This window comes from Homo sapiens, chromosome 1 (assembly GCF_000001405.40).
Source record: "Homo sapiens chromosome 1, GRCh38.p14 Primary Assembly".
Taxonomy (NCBI): domain Eukaryota; kingdom Metazoa; phylum Chordata; class Mammalia; order Primates; family Hominidae; genus Homo; species Homo sapiens.
This window is the reverse complement of record NC_000001.11, coordinates 52476981-52489267: the sequence shown is the minus strand read 5'-3', so window position 1 is coordinate 52489267 and position 12287 is coordinate 52476981. Positions and strand designations below refer to the sequence as shown.

At 36.2% G+C, this 12287-nt stretch overlaps 1 protein-coding gene across 51 annotated transcripts in view, besides 1 other annotated feature; it reads left to right on the top strand.

The window, feature by feature from the left end:
- The window catches only part of TUT4 (terminal uridylyl transferase 4), a 130189-nt gene that overhangs the window by 64196 nt on the left and 53706 nt on the right, over nucleotides 1–12287 (top strand). For 21 of the 51 annotated variants that reach the window (XM_047416324.1, XM_047416327.1, XM_005270678.3 and 18 more), the window contains 4 exons: nucleotides 233–359; nucleotides 7345–7464; nucleotides 7633–7845; nucleotides 11386–11560. In XM_047416324.1, coding sequence (XP_047272280.1) covers nucleotides 233–359; nucleotides 7345–7464; nucleotides 7633–7845; nucleotides 11386–11560 — 635 coding nt within the window. Of the gene's footprint in view, nucleotides 1–232; nucleotides 360–7344; nucleotides 7465–7632; nucleotides 7846–9253; nucleotides 10426–11385; nucleotides 11561–12287 lie in introns of those variants that run through there. The other 30 variants (XM_047416394.1, XM_047416388.1, XM_047416411.1 and 27 more) reach the window with 5 other exon arrangements.
- Nucleotides 9905–10105: a silencer, noted in NCBI's record as "peak228 fragment used in MPRA reporter construct". NCBI's record gives its function as "represses an SCP1 promoter by STARR-seq MPRAs in K562 erythroleukemia cells {active_cell/tissue: K562}" and the evidence as "EXISTENCE:reporter gene assay evidence [ECO:0000049][PMID:32103011]".

Genomic DNA, 12287 nt, shown 5'->3' with positions numbered 1-12287 from the left:
GAAGTACAAATGAATGTTAAAAACATCTTTCTTTAATTCGTATGGAACTCTAGTTATGGAATGACATGTAGTTTTCAGTTAGCTCTAAATTTATTAAAACATTTGTTTTTATTAGGGCTTTTACGGTACTATGTTACAATATGATAACTAGAAAGAAAATAGCCACAGGATTTGAAGTATTCTGCTTTTAAGGGTATTAATACAATGAAATTTGTTTCTTTCTCATTCACAGTGGTTTACTTTGTAGAGTGAGTGCAGGAAACGATATGGCATGTCTCACTACTGATTTACTTACTGCCCTTGGCAAAATAGAACCTGTCTTTATTCCCTTGGTGTTAGCCTTTCGCTACTGGGCTAAGGTAAGTGAAAGAGAGGAAAACTACTTATTTATATTTTTAGAAGGAAATGTATTTAATCTTCAAAATTAGGCCTTTTCTTGTACTGACATGTAACATCAATCATAACATGTGGGAGAAAGTAGTTTTCTGTGCTAGACAGAAAGTTGGTGTGGCAGGTTGTAATTTATGGACATAAAAATAAATTTTTGTAGACACACTTATGGATATATTTTAGAATTTTTAATTGTCATGCTATATTCTCCTTTTATGTACTATAGAAATGTTCTCTTTCATATCAGCATATGAGGCTCAAGTTTTCACTCTTACTGTAAGTTAAACTTGTAAGGTTTTAAGATGTATATACATTAAGATTCTTTTGTTGGCATATTTTTTTCCCCAGTCTCTAAGAATGCTATTCTCTTTCCTCTAAATCATTGATAACATGTACCAATTTCTGATTGGGCAACTGCTGAGCATTAGTTATTTAAGTTTCCTAAATTAGTCTTAATTTGTATGTCTAAAGGCTGTGGTTGCCCTGTGTTTATTTCTTTGATGTGGGGATAGGGAGTAGTAGTTAATTATCAATATCAGTCCAAATGACTAGAGAGAGAGATTTTAGCCTTTTGTTTGTGTATTCCTGCCCTATCGGTAGAGTATTCATCACTTGTTAGACTGGTGAGTAAATTCTCAGTCATATACAAAGAAAACTGGTTAAGGGGATGGTGTTAGAGTGGTAACTTCATAGCAAAAATAGAGAAGTCTCTGGAATTTTTTGTCTGGGCTCTGTTTAGAGAATTGCCCCCATGCTTGGAGCAGCACCAGCTGGCTGAGTACGAAACAGTCAGAAAGCCTAAGGTTGGGGCTTCTTTATACTCAAGGCCTTTGTATTTGCTGTTTCCTTCATCTAGAATGTTCTTACCTTAGGTATTTAGAATGCTTCACTCTTACTTTTTTCAGGTTTATGCTCACATTGATTACCAGCTGCCATACATAAATTTGTTGCAGTCTGTACTGTGAAATTGTAAACTCTTTGAGGGCAGGGATTTTAATGTTTTATGTATTCACGGCTGATCCCCACTTCCGCTTATTTTACTGTGTCAGCACATAGTAGGCACTCAGTAAATATTTGTTGAATAAATGACCTAGTTTCTTCAGAAAGGAGTTGTGTTTTTTTTTGTTTGTTTGTTTAAGTAGAGATGGGGTCTCATGATGTTGCCCATGCTGGCCTTGAACTTCTGGGCTCAAGCAGTCCTCCCACCTTGCCCTCCCAGGTGCTGGAATTATGGGTGTGAGGCACTGTGCCTGGGCCAGAAAGATTTTTAACCCATGGAAGAGAGTGGAGGCAGTAAAATAGGTTGAGGGAGGGTGACTACTTCCTCTCATTTATCTTATACTCTATGCCTAGCATACTATAGGAAATCAGTGTATGGAATGGAGTAAACCAATTCCAGGTATGGTTTTTTTTACTAAGTTTTTTTTTGTTTTTTGAGATGAGGTCTCTGTCACCTAGTGCTGGAGTGAGCGATCACGGCTAACAGTAGCCTCGACCTCCCAGGCTCAAGCGATCCTCCTGCCGCGGGCTTCCAGAGTACCTGGGACCACAGGCGTGTACCAACGTGCCTGGCTAATTTTTTATTTTTTATTTTTGTAGAGATGGGTTCTCATTTTGTTGCCCAGGCTGGTCTTCAACTACAGGGCTCAAATGATCCTCCCACCCTAGCCTCCCAAAGTGCTGGGATTACAGGTGTGAGCCACAGCACCCAGCTTTGCTAAGTCTTCAAGCAAGGTACTTCACCTATCTGAGCTTCAATTTTTTTCACCTGGAGAGAATATTTTGGTAATGCTATTAGATAATTCATGAGAATATACTTCAGGCTCGAAAATACTACAGAAATATAAAGGATGATGGAATACACAGTTGCTTCTTTGTTGGTACTTTTAAATTATGCCCTAATTTTTTTTGTGGTCATAAAGTCATGTCAGTTTTCTCCCAGACATTGTTCTACTCAGTAAAATAAGTAGTCTGTGTTAGAAGATTATAAATGATACTCAGATACATTCTTTTTATTTTGGAAAAAAATATGGCCCATAAATATTGTTTCCTAAAGTGACTCTTGGAAAAGGTTGCTCATGGTGTTTTAGTAGTTGATCCATGTAGATTCTAAATATGCCAGTCAATGGACACTGAAACATATATTACAAAACTGGTTGTAGAATGGTTTCTTTCTGTTTCCAACAGAATAACATGTCTCGTTTTTGTCATTTGTGTTAGTTGCAAAGAAAGTTTTTTCATGGTATTCATTTTCTTAAGAAACTTAGAAATAATTCCTAGTTTATTTTTCTTCTAAAAGATTTTTTTAAAATAGCTTTGTTTTTCTTGAAGTTTTAAGCCATATTGTACATTATCTAGTTAAGCACGCATTTTTCCATGATTTGGGGGTTCAGGACAATTCTAGTATATAATTTACTCTTATAACTGTGATATGAGATTGCAGTTGATTATTCTCTGGCTGTCTTAAGTAGTTATAGTCTTTGCATTTTAGTAATGGGAAATAGTTTTCTAGATAAAGCTTCTTAACTCTAGGTGGCAGAACTCTTTAGCCTTATCATCAGTACATTATTAGTCAAGTTACCTGACTTAGAGCCACTTGTCGTGGTTAATGTAAGAATTGCATTTTAGCACTATTTGTCATCTGAAAGAGATATCTGGGTTTTAAGAGCTCTCTCTTAAACTGCTTTAATCTTGTTTATCTGTGAGATGTCTGGTAATGTTAGCAGAATATATTGACAGTTCTTTATAGTTGCAAAGGAATTTTTGGTTAAGTTGACTTATTCATTAGGCAGTTTACCCTTGTCTTAATATTTTGGATAAGTGAGAGTTTATTCTAGTGGAATGTTTCAAATTCTTTTTTGACAAGTGTTTTTAGTTGTCTTTTATTTTGAGTTGCAATCTTAAATGTACCAAGATATTATGCTACGGTATAATTACTCTATATTATTATTATTATCCTAAATCTTCATTGTCTACAGAAGAAAACAATGATTTAAAAATGAATCCAACCAATCCAGTATAGACCAATCGTATATAGATGCTACAATCTAAATGAAATATAAGCAAATGAAATATATCCATGTATCAAAGGTTAATATGCCATGATCTTGCATGATTTACTTCAAGATTATAAGAATGGTTTAATATCAGGAAGTCTGTTCACATAATTTATTATATTAACACATGAAGCAGAAAAAAAAATCCTAGATGCTGAAAGGGCATGTTCTCCCTAACAGAAACTTTTAAGTCAGCTAGAAATGGAAGTTTATGATGAAAACCATTTATTAAAAACACACAAAAAACAAAGGCAAAACAATAAGAAACATCATTTAAGCCATATATGTTAAGATAAAGAATATTGCAGAGAAGTTCACCATTGATGTTGTACATTGTTTTGGGATTTTAGGAAATGCAATAAGAAAATGAAATAATTGAATGTAAATATTGGGAAAAGTATAAAATTATCTCTTTGTGCGAATGATATGATTGTACACCTAGAAAACCCTAGTAAAAAACTACTAGGATTAATAAGAGAATTTAGTAAGATAACTAAATACAAGATAAATATACAAAAGTGAATGGCCATTCTCTGCCATAAAAATAGCCTGTTAGAATGGAAATGGGGAAAAATGTGTACCTTTATGACAGCAACATAAATTATAAAACACTAAGGAAGAGATTTAATAACAAAGATATAAGAAGAAATTATATTATTGAAAGATGAAAGCAAAATCTGAACAAATCCATGCATTCAGCAAACATTCGTTAAATGCCTTCTGTGTGTCAGACACTGTTCTAGAGGCTGGGAACATCTAACAGGACATACAGAGTCCTGCTTTCATGGTGCTCACATACTTCTGGAAGAGTCAAACAGTAAAGAAATACATAAATAATAATATCTGCTAGAGCTTAGTGCTACAAAAATGAAATGATAGAATGAATGACATTACTCTGAATGGTCAGGAAAAGACTCTGAAGAGATGATATTTAAGCTCAGACGGGTAATAGCTAGCCACATGAAAATCTGATGGAAAACTCTCCAAGGCACAGTTAGTCCAAAGCTTCCAAGGTGGGAATGAACTCAGGAGGAGCAAAAAGGAAGGCTGTAAAACTGCTTTAATCAAGAGTATGCTATTGGCATAGAAATAGAAAAATAGATCTGTGGAACAGAATAGAATGCTCAGATGATCTAGTGTACAGATTTTATTAAATAGTGCTTTCACAACTGTATCTTACTGGAAGAAAATAATGTTGGACTCAGCATGCTAAATGCAAAAATAAATTTTACTTAAATGAAAATTTAAAATTTTAGAAGAAAAATGTAGGAGTATGTATATGTAAATAATGGGATGGGGAGATCTTTTACTATGATAGGATACCTAGAAGGTGTATAGTTGTCCTCAGTATCCAGTGGTAGGGGGATTGGTTCCAAGACCCCCAAGGATACCAAAATTTGAGGACGCTCAAGTCCCTTATACAAACTGTGTGTTATTTGTATCTAACCTTCACATAGACTCTAACATACTTTAAGTCATCACTAGATTACTTATAACATCTAATACAGTATAAATGCTCTGTAAATAGTTGTACTGTATTTTTTAATTTGTATTTTTTATTATATTGCTATTTTTAGTTTTTAAAATTTAACATTTTAATTTTTTTCAGAGACAGAGTCTCACTCTGTTGCCCAGGCCAGAGTGCAGTGGTGCCATCATAGCTCACTGTAACCTTGAACTCCTGGGCTCAAGGGATCCTCCCACCTCAGCTTCCTGAGTAGCTAGGACTACTGGTGTGTGCCACTGTGCCTGGCATATTTTTGTTTTGTTTTGTTTTGCTTTTTCAAGAGGCAAGGCCTTTGCACCTGGCGTTTAACAAATTTTTCAATTATATATATTTTTAGAGACGGAGGTCTTGCTATGTTGTCTGGGCTGGACTCAAACTCCTGGACTTCTGCCTCTGCCTCTTGAGTAGCTAGCTGGGACTACATCAGCTGCAGGTGATATGTGTCCATCACCACACCTTGCAATAAATAAATAAATAATTTTACTTAATGAAGAAAATGTATATATAAATTTTTTGATGGGGTGTTGCCCAGGCTGGAGTGTAGTGGCGCAATCTCAGCTCACTGCAACCTCTACCTCCTGGGTTCAAGTGATTCTCCTGTCTCAGCCTCCCGAGTAGCTGAGATTAAAGGTGCCTGCCACTGTGCCTGGCTAATTTTTGTATTTTTAGTAGAGACAGGGTTTCACTATGTTGGCCAGGCTGGTCTCGAACTCCTGACCTTAAGTCATCCACCCACTCTGCCTCCCAAAGTGCTGGGATTACTTGCATGAGCCAGTGTGCCCGGCCTAAAAAATATTTTCAGTGTGCAGTTGATTGAATGTGCAGATGCAGAACCCATTGATATGGAGGGCTGAGTGTCTGAAATAAGCATATTTAAACTAAAGCATAGTGAAAATAAAAAATTTTATATGGTAAGATATAAATAATATCAAAAGAAAAATAGTAGATTGGGAAAAATAACATCTTTCAAATGCATATATCAGACGTAAAGGGTTATTATCTATAATTAAAACTCTTATAAATTGATGTATTGGATGAAAATAGAAAAACTGGCAAAATATTTAATAGGCAATTTAGAAAAGAATAAATCCCAAATGGTTAGTAAACATACACAAATTTCATAATCTCTTTAGGGTCAAGGACATGCAAATTAAAGTAACCATCAGATACTACATTTCACCCATCCCATTGAAAATTATTGAAAATTATTTTTTAAGTGATAATACCTAGTGTTTGAAGGGGTGTATGCACAGGATAATACCTAGTGTTCGAAGGGGTGAACACACCTGGGTTCCTAGTGGAAAATACGAATTTTTGTAGTGATTTTGGAAAAACGATTCTTAACAATATATTTTAAGATTAAAATATATCACTCATTTTTTAATTTAACAAACATTCCTAGGCATACAGCTCATAGAAATAAGCACCAATACTTAGGAAACATGTATAAGGATGAACATTACAGCATTATTTGAAGTGGCAAAAACTGGGAACAAAATGTGAATGTTCTTGAATGGGGGAACTGTTACGTAACCATCCATATCATAGACTATAATTTAAGCATTTAAAAGAATGTGTTGGCTGGGCATGGTGGCTCATGCCTATAAATACCCAGAACTTTGGGAGGCCGAGCGGGGAGATCTTTTGAGCCCAAGGGTTCGAGACCAGCCTGGGCAACGTAAGTAAAATTTGTCTACAAATAGTCTACAAAATAAAAAAAATTAGCTGAGCATGGTGGTGCATGCCTGTAGTCCCAGCTATGTGGAAGGATCACTTGAGGCTGGGAGGTTGAGCCTGCAGTGAGTCATGATCATGCCACTGCACTTCACCCTGGGCTACAGAGCAAGACCCTGTCTCAAAAATAAAATAACGTGTTAGATCTTGCTAACTGACTTAAAGGGACTTTCTTGATATATTGTTAAGGGAGAAGAGTAATATACAGAGAGATGTCTATAATATACTATTTTGGTAAAATAATGTTGAAAAACTTAAACTTCTCCCTATACCTATATAGGAAATAGAAATGTATGTGTATTTGTATATGAGTATAGAAAAAGGCCTAGAAGAAGACATAGAAGGTTGTTAATTGAAGTAGAAGTAGAGGCAAGATGAAAAAATATTTTTAAAATGTGTCCACAGTAAAATAACTACATGTAATATTATTCCTTTTAACAAAAATATGTATCTTTGTATGAATTTTAAAAAGAATGAAAAAAATGATCATCAACATTTTAATGGTTATTTTAGAGTGATGATATTTCAAGTTATTCCTTATATTTTTCATTGTCATTTGAACTTTTTACAATGATTAGGGTAGGAAAAAGCAAGCTACTTTTATCATGAAAATTAAGAAAGCTAAATGGTAGTACTTTTTTCCCCTTCATTTTGCAGTTGTGCTATATTGACTCCCAAACTGATGGTGGAATCCCTTCTTACTGTTTTGCTTTAATGGTGATGTTTTTTCTACAACAGAGAAAACCCCCTCTTCTTCCTTGCTTACTTGGAAGTTGGGTAAGCATGAATTTGTGACATATATATGCATATATATATATAGTTTGCTCTTGCAGAGAACTCTGCTCAAACATTTTAAGCTGGAATTCTGGTTTGTCTGTTTGTCCATCTTTTTTTTTTTTTTTAAATAATTTTTCCACTACCAATTTGGAATGCCTTTTTATATAGATTGAAGGCTTTGACCCAAAAAGAATGGATGACTTTCAGCTGAAGGGCATAGTAGAAGAGAAGTTTGTGAAGTGGGAATGTAATTCAAGTAGTGCAACTGAGAAAAACTCAATTGCTGAGGAAAACAAAGCTAAGGCAGACCAACCAAAAGATGATACCAAGAAGACAGAAACAGACAACCAAAGTAATGCCATGAAGGAAAAACATGGCAAAGTAAGCCTTTTTGTTTTTGTTTTTTGGCTTTTCTATCTGTAGAATTTGTGATATTCTTCGATTGAAGCTATTTTAATTGTAGATTGACTGACCTTGAGCAAGCCTCTTGGCCTCATTTTCCTCATCTATAAAGTGAGGGGTTGATCTGGTTTAGTTTTTCAGTACCAAGATTCTCTAATGAATTTATGCCTTATTTTGGAAAACTTGTGTTGTTTGAATCATGTCAAGATAAATCTGTCATTTTTCATCTAGACAAGGAAAATTTCCTTTAAGAGTTGGGCTCTGACCAGACTTCAGCATATGGGAATTTTGTTGCCAATTGGGTGGAGAAATAAAGCCCCTGTGCTCTAAGAGAGGGTAGCTTTGCTTATTTGATCATTCAGCATTCATTTTTAAGGACCTGCTATGTGCCAGGCATTATCTTGAGTGCTAGAGAACCAAAGGTACATGGATTATGTCCTTCAGAAGCTTGTAGTCTTCTAAATGGACAGATGCATTATTACAGAAATCTGAACATTTCTGAAATCATTGCTCTAGCTATATTGAATTATTTGTAGTTTCCTGATATACTTGACTATTGTATTCAACTCTTCCACTTTCCTGTACTACTGTATACTCTCTCCTCAAACCACTAATACTCTCAGCCAATGCTTGCTTATTACTTCACTGGGAACTTGCCATGTTCTTATCTAAAGTCATTTTCTTCACTTGCGTATTCAGTCTCATCCTTTCTTGTCTTTTCCAGAATATCACTCTAGCAATTATTCCCTCATAAATTGCCAATTTTTCATTCCCTACAAAATCAAACATGCTCTTACTTCTCCCACTGTAAGAAAAATCTGACATCACTTCCCCTCCCAGCTATTCCTTTGCTCCCTTTTGCAGCGAAACTTCTTAAAGAAATGTCTGTATTTACTATTTTTGATTTCTCTGTTTCCCCTTAACTCACACTAATCAGGCTTTGATGTCACCCCATCAGTTTGCCAAAACTTGTATCATCAATGTCAGTAACCTCCACATTACTAAATCCCGTGGTCATTTCTCAGTTTCTGTTGTTTTTGATTTATTAGCAACACTTGCCAGTTAATTACTTCCCTCTCTGAAAATTTTATTCACTTGACTTTCAGGACACCAGACCCGTGTCTGGTTATTCCTTCTCAGTTTCCTTTGCTGGTTTCTTTTTTCCTCTGTAATCTCTTAAAGTTGAAGTGCTGTAGTTCACGATCCCTTTTTTCTTGTGTATGTACATTCCCTTGGTAATCCCATCTAATCCTGTGGATTTTAAGTACTGTCTGTATGATGATCACTCTCAAATTCAAATCTCCAGCCAGACCTCTCTCCTGACCACCATAATTGTATAACCAACTGCCCATTTATTGTCTCTACTTAGATATCTAATAGTCTTTTTTTTTTTTTTTTTTTTTTCCTGAGACGGAGTCTCGCTCTGTCGCCCAGGCTGGAGTGCAGTGGCACGATCTCAGTTCACTGAAACCTCTGCCTCCCAGGTTCACACCATTCTCCTGCCTCAGCCTCCCAAGTAGCTGGGACTACAGGTGCCCGGCCACCATGCCCGGCTAATTTTTTGTATTTTTAGTAGAGATGGGGTTTCACCGTGTTAGCCAGGATGGTCTCAATCTCCTGATCTCGTGATCCACCCGCCTCAGCCTCCCAAAGTGCTGGGATTACAGGCGTGAGCCTCCGCGCCCGGCCGTCTAATAGATGTCTTAAACTTAATGTGTCTAAACTGAATTCCTGATCCTCCCCTCAAACTTGCTCCACACTTAGTTTTTTCATCTTAATTGTTTGCACTGCATCCTTTCAGTTGCTCAATTAACTGAAAGGATGTTCCTTTCGGTTAACCTTGGAGTCATCCTTTACTTCTCTTTCATACCCTATATCAAGTCTTGTCAGGAAATCCTGTCATCTCTACTTCAACATGTATCCAGAATTTGATTACCTCTCACTACCTCCACTGTTACCTTCCTGGTCCTAGCCACCATCATCTCTGGCCTGGGATACTACTATAGCCTCCTAACAGGTTTCCCTGTGTCTACCCTTTCCTCTTATGGTCTGTTCTTAAAAATCAGAACAGTTCTTCTAAAACTTAAGCCAGATCATGCCCTTCCCTCTCGCCACACTCAAATGCTTCAGTTGTTCCTCATTTCATTTAGATAACAAGCCAAACAGCCCTTCCTGGCTCTTTGCTTTCTTTCCTCTTCTACTCTTCCTCTCACTCTATCTTGGTTTGCTTTTTAAAACTGGTCTCATTCTTTGTGTGTTTGCCCTGTTTCCCATTCCTGTAGCACCCTTCCCTCTTCTTAAACCGTACCTTCTCAATAATTCTTATCCTGACTACTCTATTGAACACTGTAACCTTCTCCTGCTTCCACACTCCCATCCTTTTTAGCGTACTCAACTCTTTTTTTTTCTGTAGTACTTATCTTTTAAGTTACTATGTAATTTACTTACTAAAGATGTTTGTTGTCTTTCCATAGAAAGTAAGATCCATGAAGGCAAGATCTTTGGGGTTTTTTCCCTCAAAGATGTATCCCGAGTGCCTGGAACACTGCCTTGCACAAAGTAGGCACTCAATGAATAGTTGTAAAATGGAATGTGAGAATGATTGTTTCATTGTGTTTATGCTGCCTAGTGGTTACTTTTAGCCAGGTTTCATCTAGCTAATTCTTTGGAATTCAGGTGTTACCTCTTCTGTTATGATTCCCCTGATTAGAGGCCCATCTTAGCATGTAGCCCTTACTATAATTGTTAAATTGTCTCTCCCCTCCTAATAGTCTATGAAGTAGGACCTTATTTAGGTGGCAGTATAGTATAGGGATTCACCGCATGGACCCAGTGGCCAGGTGGTCTTGAGTCAAATCCTTGACCTATAGTATCCACTTCATGGAATAGTTAGAATTGTTAATATATGTGCCGCTTTTAGAAGAGTGAATGGTACATGGTAAACCTTATGTATAAGTGTGAGCTTTCTTTATTTTATGATATTCCTAACAATGTCAGGGACATAGGAGGTTCTAAAGAAATGTTTGCTGAATGAAGGAATTAGTTTTTTTGAAAGCCAGGGCATTTACTTATATTTTAAAATTAATTATTGGAAAAACGAGTTGTAGTAGTTATGCAGTGGTTTGCAGCTTTGGCTGCACATGAAAATTACTTAAGGGAGCTTTAAAAATACCATTGCCTAGGCTGATAGCCTAGTCAGTTATCAGAATCTTGGGAGGGGTGTAGAAGGTGGGGTTGGTGTGGAATTCAGGTATTGGTGTATTTTACTGCTCTCCACATGATTCTAATGTGCAGCCAAGGTTGAGAATCACTGGTTCAGTGGAAAGAATGCAGAATTCCTAGGAGTCAGTAAACTGGGACTTTGTTCCCAGCTTTGCTTCAAACTGACTGCTTTTTGGCAAATTACTCCTTCATGTCTCAGTTTTTGAAAACGTGATCTCCAAGGTCTTCTCTAACTGAAAATTTGTTGATTTTTATGGTTTTGTTAAGCTTAAATGAAAAGTATTTTTTCTTTTCCAGTCTCCTTTAGCATTGGAAACACCAAATCGGGTATCCTTGGGACAGTTATGGTTAGAGCTGCTTAAATTCTACACACTGGATTTTGCTTTGGAGGAATATGTCATATGTGTACGGATACAAGATATTTTAACAAGAGAAAATAAAAACTGGCCTAAAAGGCGAATAGCCATTGAAGGTGAGATGATATGTTGTATTTCATTTGGAGAATATTTTTTATGTGCTACTCATTATCTAATTCAGTGTTAATAATCCTTTGGCTTTGTGGCACTATATATATATGTCACTAGATTGTCATTCTTTATTTTTAATTTTTTTAGAGACAGGGTCTTGCCCTGTTGCCCAGGCAGAAGTGCAGTGATAGGATCATGGCTTACTGCAACCTCAAACTCATGGGTTCAAGGGATCCTCAGCTTCCTGAGTAGCTAGGACTATAGGCTTGTGCTACCATGCCCAGCTAATTTTTTTTATTTTTTGTAGAGATGGGGGTCTCACTGTGTTGCTCAGGCTGGTCTGGAACTCTTGGCCCCAAGTGATCCTCCTGCATTGGTCTCCCAAAGTGCTCGGATTATAGGCATGAGCCACCGTGCATGGCCTTCATTATTTATTTAGATTCTTTGTCAAGTCTATTATAGTTTTATAGAATTAGTATTTATTTAAAGATTTCTGCCATATATGGTTAAGGTCAGTAATTAGCATTTTTTAAATGTTGAAAATTTTATTTTTTAATTATGCAAACTTGCAGAAATACAGAAAAATATGTTATGAATAATATAAGATCTTTTTGAATAAATTTGTGTCATAAGATTATGAGAAAGTTTTCATTGTCTTTTAAAGTACCTCACCTAATAAATGTGGCTTCGCTAAAGGAGAAAAATAAAAACTGATGTTGACAAAGTTTCACA